General features: G+C 44.0%; 1 protein-coding gene across 1 annotated transcript in view; it reads left to right on the top strand.

The window, feature by feature from the left end:
* The window catches only part of LAMA1 (laminin subunit alpha 1), a 176,056-nt gene that overhangs the window by 96,902 nt on the left and 57,485 nt on the right, over window positions 1–21,669 (top strand). The window contains exons 20-32 of the mRNA NM_005559.4: window positions 3,512–3,618; window positions 4,225–4,405; window positions 5,038–5,174; window positions 6,845–7,081; window positions 8,758–8,901; window positions 9,417–9,596; window positions 10,511–10,696; window positions 11,530–11,657; window positions 12,288–12,408; window positions 13,620–13,757; window positions 18,511–18,632; window positions 20,899–20,985; window positions 21,258–21,451. Coding sequence (NP_005550.2) covers window positions 3,512–3,618; window positions 4,225–4,405; window positions 5,038–5,174; window positions 6,845–7,081; window positions 8,758–8,901; window positions 9,417–9,596; window positions 10,511–10,696; window positions 11,530–11,657; window positions 12,288–12,408; window positions 13,620–13,757; window positions 18,511–18,632; window positions 20,899–20,985; window positions 21,258–21,451 — 1,962 coding nt within the window. The remainder of the gene's footprint in view (window positions 1–3,511; window positions 3,619–4,224; window positions 4,406–5,037; window positions 5,175–6,844; window positions 7,082–8,757; window positions 8,902–9,416; window positions 9,597–10,510; window positions 10,697–11,529; window positions 11,658–12,287; window positions 12,409–13,619; window positions 13,758–18,510; window positions 18,633–20,898; window positions 20,986–21,257; window positions 21,452–21,669) is intronic.

Here is a 21,669-nt window from a genome sequence, read left to right as displayed (position 1 = left end):
GGGTGTGATTGGAGCTGTGTGTTTGAATATCGCCCTGCTGCCAGCGTTGAGGAGGGAATGGCTGCCAGGGGTGTTGGGTTAGGAGACAAGACCCGAAATGAATCTTTCTGGTAAGCATTGATGAGGGCTTCAGGTAGGGCCTTTGCCATGGAGATAAAAGAGAAGACGTAAAATAGGTCTTGATGACAGGTTGGAAGGTGGAGGAAGGACGGTTAGAGCAGCTGGGGTTTGGGTCTGGGCCTGGGCTAGTAGGGCTGATGCTGACCAGGCTGTCTCTGGTTTCTGAACACTTAACAGCTTTTATCCTTTCTCATCCCTTCTCTCGCATCCCCTCGCTTCGATGAGACAAAGTCCTGTGAACTGTTTCTGCATATCCCACGAGCAGTCCTTCCATTTCTATAACAGGGTTCCCTCTGTGGACTTCTTGTAGGGCCCCCCATTCTTATATAATACTATAGTCTGTTAGGTTAAACCAAGTGCAAGTGCCGGTGTTGTGTGTGATTGACCTTCTCTAAAGCAAGCGCGTATAGTTCAACCCAGTATTTATCTGTTTCCCCTCACCCCCCATAACTCTCACTCACTTGAAGCTTGGTAGGAGGAGAAACTGATCGTCAGGTTCACCTCCTGCCTCTGCTGTGGGGCAGCGGCTGCAGCCGGAGGTGTGGACAGGCCGTCCAGGTAGAGTAGAGCACTGAGGGAGATGAGGGTGGTGAGAAACCTCACAGAACTCTAATATTAAAGGACTCTTATATTAAATAAGTTAAATGAGGATAATTTTTATATTGTGAGCTACTCCTGAGAATTAAAATATATATAAAGTACCTGGCTATTCAGTAATTGGCCTAAAATAACACTATTTTAAATTAGTACTATTTATAACATAAATACTATTTTAATTAAGAATTACTATAATAGGCCGGGCATGGTGGTTCACACCTGTAATCTCAGCACTTTGGGAGGCTGAGGCAGGTGGATCACCTAAGGTCAGGAGTTCGAGACCAGCCTGCCCAACATGGCAAAACCCCATCTCTACTAAAAATACAAAAATTAGCTGGGCGTGGTGGTGAGTGCCTGTAATCCTAGCTACTTGGGAGGCTGAGGTGGGAGGATCACTTGAGCCTGGGAGGCGGAGGTGGCAGTGAACTGAGATTGCGCCACGGCACTCCAGCCTGGGTGACGGAGTGAGACCCTGTCTCAAAAAAAAAAAAAAAAAAAAAAAAAGAATTACCATAATAATTATTACTGCAGAGAGAGAACTAGTAATAGCAGTGTGACCTATGGAAAGTTATCTAATCTTTCCAAGTTGTAGATTTCACACCGAAAATAGAGAACATTATTTCGCCTCCCTCCTTGGTTTGTGGTGAAAGTACAAAGAAATACTGAATGTGACAGGCACAGACTAACAGACACATCATACAGTGAATATGATTTTTTAAATTATCATCAATAGTTTACATTGATCATACTTGCATTGAACTTTAAATATTCCCCAGAGAAAGAGGCGGCTTGAAATGAAACACGGAGGGGAGACACACGAGAAACAAGAGGGAGGGCAGGAGAGTGGGCGTCCCAAATACCACAGGAAGAGGGCGATGCAAAAGGGAGAGGGAGGTCACGGGGTCCCTTCCGCAGAGCCACGGGGTAAGAGGGGGACCGAAGTCTGCTCCCTGAATTTGGTGCCTGGGAAATCTCTGGAGACTTTAGGGAGAACAGTTGCAGCAGACAAGGGGCCAGGAGGACACTATGCGAAACTTGGATTGGACGGACGTGCCAGGGAGGTGGATGTTCTGATGGAGGATAAAAGGGAGGGGGTGTCTTGTGTTTGATGGGGGCAGTGGAGAAGGATGTGCTGGGGAGTTAGCAGCAGAGTCCGCACGGTCCAGCTACGGGGTTGATGGAGCAAGTCCCTGAAGGGCACCGGTGAATGGGGCCTCTCGTGGGACTGCAGCATTAAGGCCCCCACTCCAGGAAAACAGACGGCCAGCCTGGCCTAGATCATGAAGGAGGCGGATCCCAGCACGTTTCCTCTGCCCCTGACCTTCCCATGTCATGTCCCATGTCCAGCACTCTTGCTGCAGCCTCCAGGTCGTGTTTAGGCCTTCCATTATTTGTGAAGTTTTTCTCTCTTTTTTCTTACATTGTTATGTCATGACACACACTGTACATGTTCTGAGTCCACACATTTATAAAGAGTGCCTGGGGGCCCGGCGCGGTGGCTCACGCCTGTAATCCCAGCACTTTGGAAGGCCGAGGCGGGCAGATCACAAGGTCAGGAGATCGAGACCATCCTGGCTAACACGGTGAAACCCTGTCTCTACTAAAAATACAAAAAATTAGCCAGGCGTGGTGGCAGGCGCCTGTAGTCCCAGCTACTCGGGAGGCTGAGGCAGGAGAATGGCATGAACCCGAAAGGCGGAGCTTGCAGTGAGCTGAGATCACGCCACTGCACTCCAGCCTGGGTGACAGAGTGACACTCCGTCTCAAAAAAAAAAAAAAGAGTACCTGGAATATTTTGTCAGGCAACATATTAAATGTTCTTTTTTTTTTTTTTTTTTTTTTGAGATGGAGTTTCACACTTGTCGCTCAGGCTAGAATGCAGTGGTGTGATCTTGGCTCACTGCAACCTCCGCCTCCCAGGTTCACGAGATTCTCCTGCCTCAGCCTCCCAAGTAGCTGGGATTACAGGCACGTGCCACCACGCCTGGCTAATTTTTGTATTTTTAGTAGAGATGGGGTTTCACCACGTTGGCCAGGCTGGTCTTGAACGCCTGATCTCAGGTGATCCGCCTTCCTTGTCCTCCCAAAGTGCTGGGATTACAGGCATGAGCCACTGCGCACAGCCAACATATTAAATATTCTAACTGAAGTGCTTATTAAGGGTTCCCCTGTGAATATTGATTAAATATATTTTGGACCCGTAAGATTGTATCACTTTGCAAAGGTAGGGAACTTTGTAGCTTTAAGCATCAATGTTGTAACTGTAGATAAAATGGAACCATCTGACCTGAAACTACAAATGACTCATGACTTAGAACTGGGATATCATATTTAATGAAAAGATATTTTTCATTAAATTATGAAATATAATATTAATATGTACTTATTTAGATTACGTTTTAACTGAGCTTTAAAATATTGAATATGTACCTGATTGGAATCAGGGCAAATGGCTAAGTTGATTTTGAAATCTCCATTGCATGTTTTTCATGGGAATTTGTAGCTCATTTAAAATATGTCGAGGAAGTCATGAAATTGGTGAAGCGAATTCGCTAATTATTGTCTTAATAGCTTCAATGTGTTTTTCCTGTGATGGATCCTTCCACTAACCCTGTTTCAGTTTACTCTTCAGAAAAATGCTAAACTTCTAAAGTTATTGCCAATAATATTATTTTTAGTTTTGTGATTTGAAACATTGAAAGTTTACATTTTTTTTTTCCTTTGGGGATGACGGATCTTATGATAACCATCCTCAGAAGTGAGGGTTAATATGTCTTTGTGTGCATGTGTTTAGCCTGTGAATGCCATGTGAAAGGCTCCCATTCTGCCGTGTGCCATCTTGAGACCGGGCTCTGTGACTGCAAACCAAACGTGACTGGACAGCAGTGTGACCAGTGCTTGGTAAGATGCATGTGACTAATTGACACCTTAGCCTTGGTACAGAGGCGATTGAATCCATGACTCAGAAGGAGCTAAGTCCCCAAGTGTATTAGTTTGTTCTCACACTGCTATAGAGATACTACCCAAGACTGGGGAATTTATCAACAAAGGAGGTTTGATTGACTCACAGTTTCGCATGGTTGGGGAGGCCTCAGGAAACTTACAATCATGGTGGAAGGGGAAGCAGGCACCTTCTTTACAAGGCAGCAGGAGAGAGTAACTGTCAACACTTATAAAATCATCAGATCTCATGAGAATTCACTATCACCAGAACAGCATGGGGAGCTGCCCCTATGATCAAATCACCTCTCTCCTTTGACACATGGGGATTACAATTCGATTTGAGATTTGGGTGGGGACACAGAGTCAAACCATGTCATAAAGTGTGGCTGACAAGTGCCGTGCCTGTCTAGAGAGTGGATGTTTGCTATAAAGGGATGGGGATGGTGTCATGAATACTTTATGATTCTATGAAATACCCTGTGTGTGTTCTGGAACATACTAATATGAGGAGTCATTTATTAAAACGTATGTTGGTTTCCACTTTCTCCCCCTTTGGTGAAACAGCATGGCTATTATGGGCTGGACTCAGGCCATGGCTGCCGGCCCTGCAACTGCAGCGTGGCAGGCTCCGTGTCAGATGGCTGCACGGATGAAGGCCAGTGTCACTGTGTCCCAGGTGTGGCAGGGAAAAGGTGTGACAGGTGTGCCCATGGCTTCTACGCCTACCAGGATGGTAGCTGTACACGTAAGCCTTGATTTCCTTGTTTGAGACTTTGTAGTCATTCCCAGAGCTTTCCTTGGGCCCTCCCTCTACTTCCAACTAATTTTGGTTAAGTGCCTTTACTTTTTCTCTTCTTTCCCTGGAGGATTTCATACCTTTTTTCTGGTTTCTGGTCCCTATCAGGGTACAAGCCTAAGTTTTGGTCATGGCTCTGCCGCCTACTAATTGTGGGAGCTTAGATTCATTACTTAACTTTGCTTGGCCTCAGTTTCCTCATCTGTAAAATGGGGATGCTAATGAGAATCTGCATTGAGAAGTTAGTGTAAGTGTTCTATATAAAGTCCTCAGCATGGCATTGGGCCTGCAGTAAGTGCTTAGTAAATATTGGCTCCCTCTGTGATCACCTAGTGAGGGCTTTTTCACTCTTTTCTCTATTTCCCCTGTCCTGTCCCCATTTCCCCGCTTCCCTCAGCATCTCCTGAGATGGAGGGCCGGCTACCTCCATGAGACATGGAGGGGTCTTGGGAATTGTGAGGCGTCTTTTAGGAGTGAGAAGAGTGGCTTGGACTCTTAATAAAAGGGAAATAACAGCATCAGCTCTTAGCCCTTTAATGACATCACCCAGATCTGTAACCCAGCATTCATCTTTATTTCAGCCTGTGACTGCCCACACACTCAGAATACCTGCGACCCAGAAACTGGAGAGTGTGTCTGCCCCCCTCACACACAGGGTGTGAAGTGTGAAGAATGTGAGGATGGGCACTGGGGCTACGATGCGGAGGTGGGGTGCCAGGTGAGCACTGTCATCCACGCTCTTGCTTAACTGAGAGTTGCTTTGCTGTAGCAAGTTTCAGGCCTGTTCTTCTATATATTTTCTGGACTTTAATCTGTTGAATAGCTTTGTGAATTTAAAAAAAAAAAAAAAACTCAATGTGGGCCAGGCACAGTGGCTCACACCTGTAATCACTGCACTTTGGGAGACTGAGGCAGGAGGATCGTTTGAAGCCAGGAATTCAAGACCAGCCTGGGCAACAAAGCAAGACCCTGTCTTTGCAAAAAATAACGATTAAAAAAAAATTTAGCCTGGTGTGGTGGCACACGCCTGTGGTCTCAGCTACTTGGGAGACTGAGGCAGGAGGATCACTTGAGCCTAGGGATTCAAGGCTGTAGTGAGCTGTGATGGCAACACTGCACTTCAGCCTGAACAACAGAGAAAGACTCTATCTTAAAAATCAAAAACAAAAACAATACACCTTAATGCAGATGATAGGAATCAAAGTGGAAGACAGGACACCCTTAAGACACCTTATTCTAGGTTTTCTTCAAGAACCTAGTTGTTGCATTGATGGTTAGAAAATCCAAAAAATGGCTGGGTGCGGTGGCTCACGCCTGTCATCCCAGCACTTTGGGAGACCGAGGTGGGCAGATCACAAGGTCAGGAGATTGAGACCATCCTGGCTAACACGGTGAAACCCCGTCTCTACTAAAAATACAAAAAAAATTAGCTGGGCGTGGTGATGGGCGCCTGTAGTCCCAGCTACTCAGGAGGCTGAGGCAGGAGAACGACGTGAACCCGGGAGGCGGAGCTTGCAGTGAGCCGATATCGGGCCACTGCATTCCAGCCTGGGCAACAGAGCAAGACTCTGTCTCAGAAAAAAAAGAAAAGAAAAGAAAATCCAAAAAATATTTGAGTGTCCTTTAATAAATATTGTGCAATGTATACTATCTTCCAAGAGAAAGTAATAAATCACTTTATTGGGGGTTTATGTCCAAACCATGAGGCCTCCAGTTTTCTATGTAGCCTTCTTCAGTTAAATTTGGGTATAGTTTGTGTTTTGGAAACAAGAGGAAATTACTTTTTTTTTTTTTTTAATTGAGACAGGATCTTACTCTGTCACCCAGGCTGGAGTGCAGTGACACCATCAAAGCTCACTGTATCCTCAAAGCTCACTGTATCCTTGACCTCTTGGGCTCAAGCAATCCTCCCGCTTCAGGCCCCCAAGTGGCTGGGACTACAGGCATGTGCTATCACGCCCAGCTAATTTTTTGATTATTTGTAGAGACGGGGGTCTCACTATGTTGTCCAGGCTGGTCTCAAACTCCTGGGCTCAAGTGATCTTCCCACCTCTGTATCCCAAAGTGCCATAATTGCAGGCGTGAACCACTGTGCCTGGCCTGATTTCTACAGTAATTTCGTTAGACTTGTTTTGACCTAGTAGATTTAATTTCAGTTCACAATTCTGGCCCCGTGCGCATGTGCCACTAAGATGCACAGATTTCCGGCAACACAATGCCTGTCTCCTGTTGGCACATGGCAACGTGAATCCATGCAGCAATAGCAAGAGAGAGATGGTTCATTTGTAGAACTTCCCCACATGTAGTGTTTTCCTGTAATTCAAATATGTGTGCATTTGGAAGCATCAAATCTGCCTTTTTAATTGAGTTGGTTTTCCCTTCTCTCAGGCCTGCAATTGCAGTCTCGTGGGGTCGACTCATCATCGGTGCGATGTGGTCACCGGCCATTGCCAGTGCAAGTCAAAATTTGGTGGCCGGGCCTGCGATCAGTGTTCCTTGGGTTACAGAGACTTTCCCGACTGTGTTCCCTGTGACTGTGACCTGAGGGGGACGTCGGGGGACGCCTGCAACCTGGAGCAGGGTCTCTGCGGCTGTGTGGAGGAAACCGGGGCCTGCCCTTGCAAGGTATTTACCATCCATCCTCCTCTTTCATCCTGTCTCTGGCTCCTCATCATGACTCCTGGGCTTTGACTACTTACCTAAGCAGCCAGGTTTTGGATGCTTTTCCTAGTGAGTTCACACTCCCTTCCGCATCTGAGTTCAAAGTCTCTTATGCTCCTCTAGAGTGACGGATGATTTTTGAAATTGAATTTTTACTGTTACTAGTGTCAGTTGATGGAACTGATTTGAAAACTGCCCTGAAGTTTTAATCATATATCCCAGAGGCTGAGTGGCTGCGTATCTTGAGTATGCAGGTGAGGTGGGTTTCTCAGGGCTTCGGGATTTGTGATGTGATCCCTGTGAGGTTATTGGGCTCCCGTATGTGCTGGCCACATTGAAGGAAATCGGGGTTTATTATTTTCCCAAGAGGTAAGACTTCAATGTCATTATAAGTTTTGTGTGTTTCCGTTAGTTTTCCCAATGTGCTTTGCTATTAGGAGGTCAGAGCCACCTCCTCTGGTCCTTTTCCCATGGGTGGTGAGATGGGAGCCCTCTGGCTTGATGATGGTAATGAGCTGATGGGTGACTGGAGATAGGAAGGAAAACTCATGTACATATCATGGCCTGGGAGTAATGGAAGCATCAGTCTCCCCGTTTTCGGCCTTATTTATTTATTTAGAGACAGAGTCTTGCTCTGTCTCTCAGGCTGGAGTGCAGTGGCACAATCTCGGCTCACTGCAACCTCCGCCTCCCGGGTTCAAGCAATTCTCCTGCCTCAGCCTCCCGAGTAGCTGGGACTAGAGGTGCCCACCACCACGCCTGGCTAAATTTTTGTATTTTTGGTAGAGACGGGGTTTCACCATATTGGCCAGGCTGGTCTCGAACTCCTGACCTCAGGTGATCCCTCTGCCTCAACCTCCCAAAGTGCTGGGATTACAGGTGTGAACCACCGTGCCCAGACTCTGCCACATCTTATGATAACAGCTGTGATGATAGACGAGTAGAGCAGCAGGCCTTGTCTTAATAATCACCTGGGCCAAGCACGGTGGCTCATACCTGTAATCCCAGCACTTTGGAAGGCTGAGGTGGGTGAATCACTTGAGGTCAGGAGTTCGAGACCAGCCTGGCCAACATGGCGAAACCCCATCTCTACTAAAAATACAAAATTAGCTGGGCATGGTGGCAGGCGCCTGTAGTCCCAGCTACTCGGGAGGCTGAGGCAGGAGAATCGCTTGAACCCGGGGGGTGGAGGTTGCAGTGAGCCAAGATTGTGCCACTGCACTCCAGCCTGGGTGACAGAGCGAGACTCTGTCTTAAATAATAATAATAATAATAATAATATAATAATAATAATAATAATATTTATCACCTGGCCGGTGGCTCTCACACCCAGGGATCATCAGAATCACCTGGAGACTCGAGGCGGCTTCCAGAGTTGTCTCGGGACATTCTCATCAGGGACTCTGTATTTTCCAAACACTTCCAAGATGATTCTGTTAATCATCTGTGTTTGAGAATCACTGATTGGATCTTTGAGAAAACTGACACTCAGAAAGCTCCGGGCCTGGCTAGAGGAAACTAATGTTTGTGCATCTATAATTATGTTTAAAATTATGTTTGTGCTCTATTTTGTCTCTGTTTGTTCAGAAATCACATCTCTTTTTTAGGCAAAAACGAGTCCTTTATTTGCTCCCCTGTAGGAAAATGTCTTTGGTCCTCAGTGCAACGAATGTCGAGAGGGCACCTTCGCTCTCCGCGCAGACAACCCCCTGGGCTGCAGCCCGTGCTTCTGCTCCGGGCTGTCCCACCTCTGCTCAGAGCTGGAGGACTACGTGAGGACCCCAGTAAGTCACACACAGCGAAAGTGTTCTGCTTCTAACCCCACTCCCCTGGGAGGTGGGTGGGGGTGGGAAACACAGCCAAGTGTTCACATTAAATTTTGCTCTTATGGCATCCAAAATTCTAGGAAGCTAATTTGGGTTAGAACAGGAATCAGAGCTCAGCTTCTGCTGGCCGAGGAAGTAAATGGAGCTTGAACTAAAGGCTGTCCATGTTGTTCCTTAGCTAATCTATGAAAAGCTTTCATTGGAGAGAAGATAGAACTGCAAAATCTCAGCCGTCTTCTGCATATCATTGAACGTTTCCCCAGCGTAGCAACAGTTTGGCCCTAAATGGCAGTAGTTTAAAGCACTTTCAGTTCATTTTCTTCCAGATGTTTAGTTTAAAGGAAAAGTCTTTACTGTTTCTGTTTTAATAATGAAGCTGTTTCATCTGTGAAACAATGATGGAATCTAAAGAATGAAACTGGAGTGGAAAGTTCGCATTTTGAAGTGCACTTTCCCCTCCTTTCGTGGTTTAGGTAACGCTGGGCTCCGATCAGCCTCTTCTGCGTGTGGTTTCTCAGAGTAACTTGAGGGGCACGACCGAGGGGGTTTACTACCAGGCCCCCGACTTCCTGCTGGATGCCGCCACCGTCCGGCAGCACATCCGTGCAGAGCCGTTTTACTGGCGGCTGCCGCAGCAGTTCCAAGGAGACCAGGTGAGGTGCACGCCCAGCCGAGAGCCAGTCGGTGCTTCCTAGGATATACAGAAATTGTTTAAAATCACCATAGTCTGGGCCGGCCTGTCATTTAAAGAAGTAGTTATTAATTTCCTCTTTTAAGTGGGATCAGAGAAGTTTAATGCTCATAAAAGTCTCCTCAAATATATGGTTCCTTAAAATTTTTCATTAATTTTAAAAGTTTTTTAAGTTCACGTTATATTAATTTGGTTCTTCCTAAAGCAGTCATTCAACAGACATATACAGTCATGTGTCACTTAACAATGGAGAGACATTCTAGGGGAATGTGTCATTAGGTGCGAAAGTTATTATTATAATCTCATGAGACCATGGTCGTATATGTGGTTTGTCATTGACTGAAATATCATTACGTGGTATGGGACCCACTGTGTTTACTGATATGCTCTTGGTACAAACCTAGGTGCTATGGCCTGGGAGTCCCTTTTCAAGAAATTATCACTCATTTGGGGGGAAAAAACTACTATAAAAGATCATGAAAGGCATCACTTGGATTTTTGTTTATATAAACATTGGAGTCTGTGTGTGAATTCACCCTGATCTTTACAATTTGCAAATATGCACCCAGTGCTCCTGGAGATAGAGAAATTTTTAATCTAAAGGAGCTTGAAAATAATTTGCATCACTACCACATTGATTTGTTATTTTGGAGCTCACTTTTGTTTGTTTTCTCGAAAGGAACTATATAACTTAGGTCAACTTAATAATCCATAATTAAATGGAATTAGAAGGAAGCAAATTCCAGACAACAAATTTCACCCATGTGATGTATTTTTAAGATACAAGATTTCTCTCTTATGGTGGCAGTCTTGCAATAAAATGTTTTTGAATGAAAGCTTTGTCAGAGAAGTAAACAACACTTTATTATTTGATAGCTCATGGCCTATGGTGGCAAACTGAAGTACAGCGTGGCCTTCTATTCTTTGGATGGCGTCGGCACCTCCAATTTTGAGCCTCAAGTTCTCATCAAAGGTGGTCGGATCAGAAAGCAAGTCATTTACATGGATGCACCAGCCCCAGAGAATGGAGTGAGACAGGAACAAGAAGTAGCAATGAGAGAGGTGATAATGGGATCTTTTCATAGAAGTTCCTTAAAGACATTGACTTTGCTATGGATGTAGTGAAAGATGAAAGCCATTAATAAGAGAATGAGCAGCCAGGTACGGTGGCTCACACCTGTAATCCCACCACTTTGAGAAGCCGAGGTGGGTGGATCACCTGAGGTCAGGAGTTTGAGACCAGCCTGTCCAACATGATGAATCCCCGTCTCTACTAAAAATATAAAAATTAGCCAGGCATGGTGGCACACACCTGTAGTCCCAGCTACTTGGGAGGCTGAGGCAGGAGAATCTCTTGAACCCAGGAGGCGGAGGTTGCAGTGAGCCGAGATTGTGCCACTGTACTCCAGCTTGTGCGACAGAGAGACCGAGCAAGAAGACCCTGGGATCAAAATTCCAGTGAGATTAGCAAGATCTCCAAAAACAGTTTGAATTTCAAATTCTCAAGAAATGTATATTAGTTTTATGTCAATTTAGTGGGCACTGCATCTTAAATTCTTTATCTTGGCGTACTATTTTCAACCTGCATAGAGATAGTGGTACAGGAGACTTTGGACTTGCTCAGATTTGGGAAGTGTTTATTCTTCCAGCAGATGTTTACTGGATGTTTGCTGTGTGGCTGGCACTGCCTTAGGTAATGCATATCTATTGATAATGGAACTGACACTGCGCCTGTCCATGGAGGTTTCAGGAGGTCTTTGTCAGTTACACTCAGTGGCATGCACAGAACATGGCTCATTTCTGGAGAAATTTATAAAAGAATTTATTCTTTATAAGTTTTATGCCTGTCAGAATTTGGCCTCTGAGCTTAATTGAATGTGTTTCTCATTCTACAGAATTTTTGGAAATATTTTAACTCTGTTTCTGAAAAACCTGTCACGCGAGAGGATTTTATGTCTGTCCTCAGCGATATTGAGTACATCCTCATCAAGGCATCGTATGGTCAAGGATTACAGCAGAGCAGGTACTTGGAGCTTCTAGAATTTTGACCGTTATTTTCATATTTGAAAGCAAACTGAAAGAATTTGACTCACTTCACTTCCATTACCTACTATTTTTATTAATCCATGTAGTTCAGTTCCTTACCAAAACATTGTTAAATATTAATATCATTATGGAATGTGCGAATTATAACTTAAAGTATCCACCTAGCATGCTAATGTCGATATAAAATATAAGGACATAATGTTGGAATCTTAGCTGAAGATAAAATGCAAAAAAAACAATTGCTGTTTCTGCACATGAAAACTGAAATGCCCATGTCTTCGTAGTGATGTATAAAGAATGCTGTCACCTACTCATCTCATACTTTAGCCCAAAAAGAAAGCCATTAGGTCTTGGCCAAATCAGCACTTCAAGAGGTCTTTTAGGTGTACTTGTGTCACATTATTTTTAAATTCTAAAATGTCTAAAGTGTGTCATGACAGTTAGTAATGTGCTTTAACACACTTCACTTACAATCACAAGCAGGAACTACTCCAAACAGGGAAGAAAGCTCTGGTTTCATATATATGCAAGTGTTAGGTCATGTGCTATGTTTCTAGAAAGTTTTTCAAATGTTAGCGTTTCCTCTCTTAACATGATGGCTGCACAGAATCTCAGACATTTCAATGGAGGTTGGCAGAAAGGCTGAAAAGCTGCACCCAGAAGAAGAGGTTGCATCTCTTTTAGAGAATTGTGTCTGTCCTCCTGGCACTGTGGGATTCTCATGTCAGGTACGGAGACTCTAGTCGAAATCTATTTCCTGGGTTTGAGTTGAAATGTGCTTGTTACAGCAACTCCCAGAGATGAACAGAACTTATGTGTATCTACTATATCATTTTTTTCTCTTTTTGAATTAAAAAGAAATTAATTTTGGTAAAATGTACATAACAAAATCTTCCATCTTAACCATTCTTCAGGGTACAGTTTAGTTGTGTTAAGTACAGTCACGTTGTTGTACAACTGTCACCACTATCATCCTCAGAACTTTTTATCATCCGAAACGCAAACTCTGCACTCATTAAACACTAGCTCCCCATTTCCTCTCTCCCCAGTGCCCCAAAACCACCATTCTCCTTTTGGTCTCTATGTATTTGACCACTCTATGGCCCTCTTATATGATATATATATATGCATGGCACATGCCTGTAATCCCAGCTACTCAGGAGGCTGAGGCAGGAGAATCACTTGAACCTGGGAGGTGAAGGCTGCAGTGAGCCGAGATCGTGCCATTGCACTCCAGCCTGAGTGACAGAGAGATACTCCGTCTCAAAAATAAATAAATAAATAAATAAATAAATAAATAAAAGTGGAGTAATACAGAACTTGTCTTTTTGCGAATGGCTTGTTTCACTTAGCATAATGTCCTCAAGGCTCATCCATGTTGTAGCATGTGTCAGAATTTCCCTCCTTTTTAAGGCTGAATAATATTCCATTGTACATACATGCCACATTTTGCTTATTCGTTAATCTGTCAGTGAATAAACTTGGGTGGCTTCCCCATCTTGGCTATTGTGAATAATGCCGCTATGAACATAGGGGTTCAAATATCTCTTTGAGATTCTGCTTCCAGTTCTTTTGGTTGTGTACCCAAAAGTGGACTTGCAGAATCATATGGTACTTGTATTTTCCATCTTTGGAGGGATGGAAATGGTATAGCTACTGGTTTTTCCTGTGCCATTTTCCATTCTCACCAGCAGTATACAAGGTCCAGTTTCTCACCAATACTTGTTAGTTTTTTTTTTTTTTTTGATAGTTGATACCCTAACAGGTGTGCGGTGGCATCACCTTGTGTTTTTTCATTTGCATTTCTCTGATAGAGATGTCGAACTTCTTTTCACATACCTGTTGGCCATTTGTATGTCTCCTTTGGAGAAGTGTCTATTCAAGTCCTTCACTCACTCATTAATCAGACTTTTTTGTCCTCCCTTTTGCACCCCCTCAGGACTGCGCCCCTGGGTACCACAGAGGGAAGCTCCCAGCAGGGAGTGACAGGGGACCACGCCCTCTGGTTGCTCCTTGTGTTCCCTGCAGTTGCAACAACCACAGTGACACCTGTGACCCCAACACCGGGAAGTGTCTGGTATGCTGGTTTGTGGGGGTGCTTGCCTGAGTTTAGAAGTAAAGTGGACGCTGAGTGTCAGATTTCCGGTCTAAGTCATAGCCGTGCCTTGGTTTAGTGAGAGGTTAAATTTAGCTAAATATAAAATATAAACCTATTTCCTTGAGGACGGCATAGCTTAGTGGTTCTGACCTTATCAGTGGAAATTCTTTTATAAATTTTCCTTTCTTGATGAATTTATCTGTGGGCATCAATTTGGGAATTATAGTCGTGCACCAAATAATGACATTTTCATCAACAACAGATCACATATAGGACAGTGGTCTGATAAGACTATAATACTGTGTTTTTACTGTACCTTTTCTATGTTAGTTATAGTTAGATGCACAAATATTTCCTGTTGTGTTGCAACTGCCTACAGTATTCAGTACGGTAACATGCTGGACAGGTTTGTGGCCCAGGAGCAATAGGCTCTACCATATGGCCTAGGCGTGTAGTAGGCTGTGCCATCTAGGTTTGTATAAGTGCACTCTATGACGTTCACACCGTGACGAAATCAGCTAGGGATGCATTTCTCAGGCAGTATCCCCATCTTTAAGTGATGGATGACTGTAGTTGCATGCCTTGTTTTTAATTGCAGTACTGGTTGCCGTAGTCAAAATAGATGAGAACTGTATACGATGAAGTTTGGGGGCTCACGTGGGAATTTTAAAATAAGTTAATGCCAGTGTTGAAAATGTATTTCTCTGTGTAAAGTATTGCCCTCTCCTTGCATTTTTTAAAAAAATGCATATTCTCTAGGGGATGATAACAGCACATTATTCACATGTTAGTGTGTGTTTGCTTCTCAGCCACCTTCTCCTAGGCCAAGATTGGTCTCGGGGACACATGGAGAGCTCTGACCACTGTAAACGACTAAGCGGCCCAGACAGAAGCCTCGCAGCCCTGACCGAGGACAAATTCCTGTGTCCATGATTTAGCTTAAGCCAATGAGGCAGATAACAAAATAATGTGATATTCGTTTCCTACTCCTGAAGCCTCATGCTTTACAGTCACTCAGGTGGAAACATTGATTACTAATTGTTCCAAGATTAACTCGCCTTGGGTAAAATAATGCATTGAAGGGAAATGAGCTGCCCACCAAGGACACACCCGAAGCCTCGGAGATCCTGGGTGTGGCCCAATCACAAGGAAACACTGGAGCCAAAACAGAGGAATTAGGACTGCAGGCTCCCAACCTGCCTCCCGCCACATTTTGATTCTGGTTTTCCCTCTTTTTGACAATTCCTGTCACTGAAACCCATTATAAACAAAAAATGGTGTCTGGGCTTGGAGGATGGGATTTCAGGGTTGCAGTGGTCCTTCTATTCTTGTCAGAGTCCCTTCACATTTTTTTATTATTATTATTTTTTTCAAGATGGAGGCTTGCTCTGTCACCCAGGCTGGAGTACAATGGCGCAGTCAGCTCACTGCAACATCTGCCTCTTGGCTTCAAGCAATTCTCCTGCTCAGCCTCCTGAGTAGCTGAGATTACAGGCGCCTGCCACCACACCCAGCTAATTTTTGTATTTTTAGTAGAGGCAGGGTTTCACCATGTTGGCCAGGCTGGTTTCGAACTCCTGACCTCCAATGATCCACCTGCCTTGGCCTCCCAAGGTGCTGGGATTACAGGCATGAGCCATCACGCCCGGCTGTCCCTTCAGATATTAAGTCTGAACTATAGCAGCCATGCCAGGCAGTAATTTAGTGTACATTTTACACACCTGCAACAATGGGGAGCTCACTCCCAAAACAGCTCTGCTCATCTTTGGGCAGCTCTGATTCTTTCTAAGCCAGTGCCCCTGACCATGCATCTGTTGGTGCAGTTTTATTCTTTGGAGCTGTTGAGATAAACCATGAGTTCAGATTATTCATGAAAAGTGATGGGATCTTAACAGATACCTTGTGAAACTACTTGATCAAATCCCTCTTTCCCATGTCCAAAGGCCCTGAATCTTCAGCCCTCCAAGTCACGTACCCTCACATGCCTGGAGGCCAGATGGAGTGGTCGTGGGTCCGTTCACCAGCCTGTGGTGTGCATGTCACTGTCTGTCTTCGGTATCCTGCCCTGAGCCTAACGCCTTTGCTCCCAGAGTCAGTGGGAGCTTCCCTCCTTAACTCGAGGTGCTGTGTCTCCATGGCCCAGCCTGGACAGGGTAGTCATACCTGCCCTGTCACTGCTGCCTCACGGCATTGACTAGACACAAGACCCTTGAACTCTTCCCATCAATATAGCGCCTCAGTCCCTTCTTCCTTGCTCTTTGAGCTCAGGACCTTCCCTTCCATCCTCAGTTTTTCAAATCCTTTTGTGGTTTAGTGCAGTTCATTTCCCTTCAACATAATCTCCTAAGCACTCCCCCTGTGCTTATTGTACAGGTAGATATGAAGACCTTTTTGGATCTGATTTTGTCATTAGTATATAGGATGTTCAGGTCACTGAGCATTTGGTGTTATCATAAAAATGATTGGGGCCGGGCGCAGTGGCTCACGCCTGTAATACCAACACTTTGGGAGGCCAAGGTGGGCGGATCACCTGGGGCTGGGAGTTTGAGACCAGCCTGACCAACATGGAGAAACCCCATCTCTACTAAAAATACAAAATTAGCCAGGCGTGGTGGCTCATGCATGTAATCCCAGCTGCTCGGGAGGCTGGGGCAGAAGAATCACTTGAACCCAGGAGGCAGAGGTTGCGGTGAGCTGAGATCGCCCCATTACACTCCAGCCTGGGCAACAGGAGCGAAACTCCACCTCAAAAAAAAAAGTGATTGATTGGAAGTATGCCTTGGAAGGGGCTGGGGAGACTGAGGACAAGGGCGGTAGCCTGGGAGCTCCTCGTCCTGGTTACCCACTCCCTACCACCGCCTTCTGGGAGATACGACTGAACCTTTTTACATCAGTGAAATATTGGCAGGCATTCTCTGTGAATTTCCCATAGCAACTAATTCAGCCCACACTTTGGTTCTCATTAGGGGGTCCTTGTTTCCCTGCCACTCTTGGGGCAGCTTGTCTTTGCTTCTCTAGGGAGCCCACAGTCTGTCGTAAGTCAGAGGGAGTTGGTGTTAGCCATGGAAAACCTGAAAATCTTCAATTCTCTCTCATCATCTAATATTTATTCCTTGTCAGGTTTAGGCCATGCCATTAACACTTTTACTTTTCAAGAGAGAGATTACAAATTTTACTTCTACAGAGAGATGAGTTTGAGAGGTCAGGTAGATCCCAGTAAAATTTATCCTCATCAGGGAAAAAAATAGGAATAGAACTTTAAAATGAAAAATACTAGAATTTTAAAAACATTTAAATGAACTTAAAATAGTCCTTTTTAACATGTAACAAGATGTCTTTCTGTATCACCTCTCACTGCCAAGGATAAAAGTGTGAGTCAGCCTGGGAGTTTGCTCAGGTGTTCCTCACTGATCCTGGAAACCTATTCAGCTGCATCAGACATGGAATCTTGTGCCCAGTGGCTGAGTAAATAGAGATGAATTGAGCAAATGCCAATTTCAAATTGGAATCAGATGGCAAGAACTGCTTGTTCTTTTAGCTTTAAAAATGTGTACCTTTTTGGCCGGGCACGGTGGCTCACGCCTGTAATCCCAGCACTTTGGGAGGCCGAGGCGGGCAGATCACAAGGTCAGGAGATCGAGACCATCCTGGCTAACACAGTGAAATCCTGTCTCTACTAAAAATAAAAATAAAAATAAAATTAGCCGGTTGTGGTGGTGGGCACCTGTAGTCCCGGCTACTCGGGAGGCTGAGGCAGGAGAATGGCGTGAACCCGGGAGGTGGAGCTCACAGTGAGCCGAGATAATGCCTCTGCACTCTGGCCTGGGTGACAGAGCGAGACTCTGTCTCAAAAAAAAAAAAACAACCAAAATAAGTGTACCTTTTTTAATAGCAAGACCGTAGGTCCAAAGGATGATATAAAATTTAACTGGAAATGCCACATGGGGTGGCTCGTGCATGTCGTCCCAGCTACTTAGGAGGCCAAGGCAGGAGGATCACCTGAGGCCAGGAGTTTGAGACCAGCCTGGGCAACATAGCAAGACCCCCTACCTGTACAAAAAAGTTAAAAGTTAGACAAACATGGTGGCGTGTGCCTCTGGTCCCAGCTACTCGAGAGGCTGAGGCAGGAGAATCACTTGAGCCTGGGAGGTCAAAGCTACAGTGAGCTATGATTGCACCACTGCACTCTAGCCTGGGCAACACAGGGAGACCTCGTCCTTAAAAAAAAAAAAGAAAGAAAAAAATTAACTGGAAGTTAGTTGTTGGTTGCAGTAATCTATCAGTGGTGCTCTAAAACCATGAGTTTTCTTCCCTCATTGTCTATTTCCTAAATCATCTATCCATTCTTCAACTCCTTACATGTGGTTGTTGAACCCTGACTGTGTGCAAAACTGGTGCTTCAAATTGTTTTTTGGGGCACTAAATATTTTAAATCTGTGTTTTAAGGTTCTGCAAACTGCTTTTAGGGCTCCTATGTCTATTTTCCTTAAGAAGAATGTACTAGTAATTTCTTGGCTGTAGTGGATGAATGCAGCCTTAGGATGAATGAAAGCCACAGAGCGGGAAATGTTTTCAGGATTTTAAGAATATGGAGGAAAATGCTCCCCTTTCCTGAAGAATATTTTTAAAAGCTAGCTGATATAAAACGTGGCAGTGCTTAGCTATTACCAGATAAGAATGATTTCTAACAATTTCCCATTTTTTCCCCCTTCCTTTAAATGTGGGCTCCCAGAACTGTGGCGATAACACAGCAGGTGACCATTGTGATGTGTGTACTTCTGGCTACTACGGGAAGGTGACTGGCTCAGCAAGTGACTGTGCTCTGTGTGCCTGTCCTCACAGCCCTCCTGCCAGGTGAGTCCCCACAGGGGCAGCTGGCATGCTGGGCTGCCCAGGGCTGCTTCCAGTTCAGCCTCATTTTCAAGGGTCTCTGAGTGGTCTGTTGTTAATGAATATTCTCCATTGGTTGCAAAAGGCTAATTTTAAGAAAAGGTGTTCATTCTCAAAAGCATTGGAAGAGAATCTTTTCAAAAGCAAAGTATCTGTTTTGGTATTGGATGTTTGGATGGAAGCAATTAAAGAAAGGACTTTTAGGTTTTGTTTTTTAAGACTCATTTTAGCCCACAGCATATGTATCCAATCTGCATGGAGATAAATTGCTATTAATTTTATTGATAATGATACAAAAGAACCCAATTACCATTTAAGGGAATGGGGTTAGAGTTTATATAAGGGAATGGGGTTAGAGTTTATATAAGCTGGTGCCTAAGTGCTGAAATACCACATGGTGATAAAATTGGGACTAGTTTCTACCTTGTACTTATGATGCTTGTACAGAATTACCTGAATGCAAAAGGGAACCAGAAATTTTAAGTGGGAATTAGAATATCAAAGAATCCTCTTTGGATCAAATGAAAATTATAACTCATCAATAATATTTTATTATTGCTTAGAATATTTGGCAAGGTATTGAACATACAAAGATCAAATGTTAACTCTTGGTATACTGCAATGAAGTATTCCTTTTAATATTTGTCTGAATCTTCTGTTTTTTATTGCCTCCAAGTAAATGATGCCTGATGGTGAGTACCAAATGAGAGGCACTATGTACACTTCCCTTGCAAGCTATGAAGCATCCTAAAATTTGTTGTTACTAGTGCTTATTTTTTATATTAAATGTATATATATAAATTTTGACTTGTCAATTCCACTTCTGTAGTCTGTGCTATAGAAATACTTGCATGTGTGTGTAAAGATGGATGTGTTTTTGCATTGCTTTTTACTCATGAGGAATAGGGGGAAAACGGAAATATCTACTTACGGGGAATTGATTATATACATTGTGTTACATTCCTAGAGTGAAATATTTTACAAACACGGAGAAAAGAATAAGGTATATCTGTAGGCACAGAATTGGAGAAATGGCCAATTGAAGTATGTAATTGAATATGGAGTGTGATGCCATTTTGGAAAAAATTCATATCCACGTCTATTCATACCCATATTATAGGTGGCTATATATGTGCCCAGAGAAGTATTGGGAAGGACATTCTACCCTACTACTTTGCACGTTTCTGTGCTGTTTGAATATTTTACTTCTGCAATCATAAAAAGGTTATAAACATCCCCAAAGTCCGCATTAATAAATTAAAGTTTGTGCTATCAGGAAGAGATTGTCAGGTTGTGAACATTCTTGTGTGCTCTGAATCTCAGATGCCCTAAAACACACGCTTTATTTTCTACATATTTTGTTTCCACTGAAGTCTATCCCTTTACTATTTTAAGGAGGAAAAAGAGTCGGAAGTGGTATGGGGCTGATAACTGACGCTGGAAACTTCATCTTGCTAACGAAAAGGAACCAGACTTGGCTCTAACTGGTTTTGTTTTTTATTGTTGTCTCCAGTAGTTTGCATGCACCCAGCTCAGCCTCTAGATGGCACATTGGTAATTTAAAACGTGAAGGCAGAGGGTAGAGGATGTTGAGAAAAAGGAGTAAAACAAAAGCAGAAATCCATGAATGAGGAGATCAAATCCCAGTCGATGATTAAACTTTGAGAGGCTCTGTCATTTTGCTTATGGCAGCCTACCACATAACTCCCTGCCTGCCTTTAGGTGCATCCGTTCTCCAGTTCTGCCTTATTTCCTTGCCTTTGCCTCCCTGGCTTTCCTTCCTCGCCTTTCGTTACAGTCAATAAAGTTCTTTTCGTCAGCGTGTGTTCAGCCATCTTCCCTCTGCTGTTTTTCATGCTTGCTCATAGTTGTTTCAGCTCTCTTACCACCTTATCACTTAGTAAGCAAAGACCCTTTTTCCTTGGGACACTCTCTTGTTGGGTGGCCAATTAGTGATAATCCCTAAGGTCAGTCTTCTTCCACTTAACATTCACATGATTGTCCCTGGACAGGGTCTTATGAATGTCTTTTGGATACAAGATGTGTGTGCACTTACTGATTACTTTTATTTTCCTTCTTTTTGCCAGGTAGATTGTAAGCTCTAAAAAGCTATGTGTAATCACATAACTTTGAGACCAGTATGGTGTATCCTAAGAGTAATGAATAAGTACCTTAAGGAAAGATGGAAATTGTATATCTGAAAATTCAAAAAGAAATTCTTTTCCTCCAGTTTTAGTCCCACTTGTGTCTTGGAAGGGGACCACGATTTCCGTTGTGACGCCTGTCTCCTGGGCTATGAAGGAAAACACTGTGAAAGGTACATGGGTGGATTGTCATGTGGAAATCCCTGGGCACTCTGTTTCTTTTATAAGGTATTGGGCATATTTACTATAGTAATCTGGGAGCCATTATCAATTATCAGTTTGGATGTGCTTGATTGAAATAAGACCTCATTACTGTTCCAGAACAAGTTTTCCCAAGGTGAATGGATCTGTGCTTTGCATTTCATTTGGCGGAAATGATTACTGTCGCAAGTTAGAAGCTGGTATTGACCATCCTGTCTGCACCTATGTCCCTTCCTTTCTGTAGGTGCTCCTCAAGCTATTATGGGAACCCTCAAACACCAGGTGGCAGTTGCCAGAAGTGTGACTGCAACCCGCACGGCTCTGTCCACGGTGACTGTGACCGCACATCTGGGCAGTGCGTTTGCAGGCTGGGGGCCTCGGGGCTCCGGTGCGATGAGTGTGAACCGAGGCACATTCTGATGGAAACAGATTGTGTTTGTGAGTATTTCTCCTCTAAATGTGTAAAGATGGTTTTTCCTCCCAAATGTGTCGGGAAAGAAGTGGTGACGGCACGCTAAAGTGTCTGCAGAATAAAAACATCCTATTTTATTTTCATTTTCTTATTTTCTAAGCATAGATCACTGTTGCATCTGCTGAACTGAACCTTTCATCATGTGTTTTCCAGCTGAGGCAGGAGGTTCTAAGATAGCAGTTTA

This window comes from Homo sapiens, chromosome 18, assembly GCF_000001405.40.
Source record: "Homo sapiens chromosome 18, GRCh38.p14 Primary Assembly".
In the NCBI taxonomy this organism is placed as follows: domain Eukaryota; kingdom Metazoa; phylum Chordata; class Mammalia; order Primates; family Hominidae; genus Homo; species Homo sapiens.
This window is presented reverse-complemented; position numbering and strand designations above follow the sequence as displayed.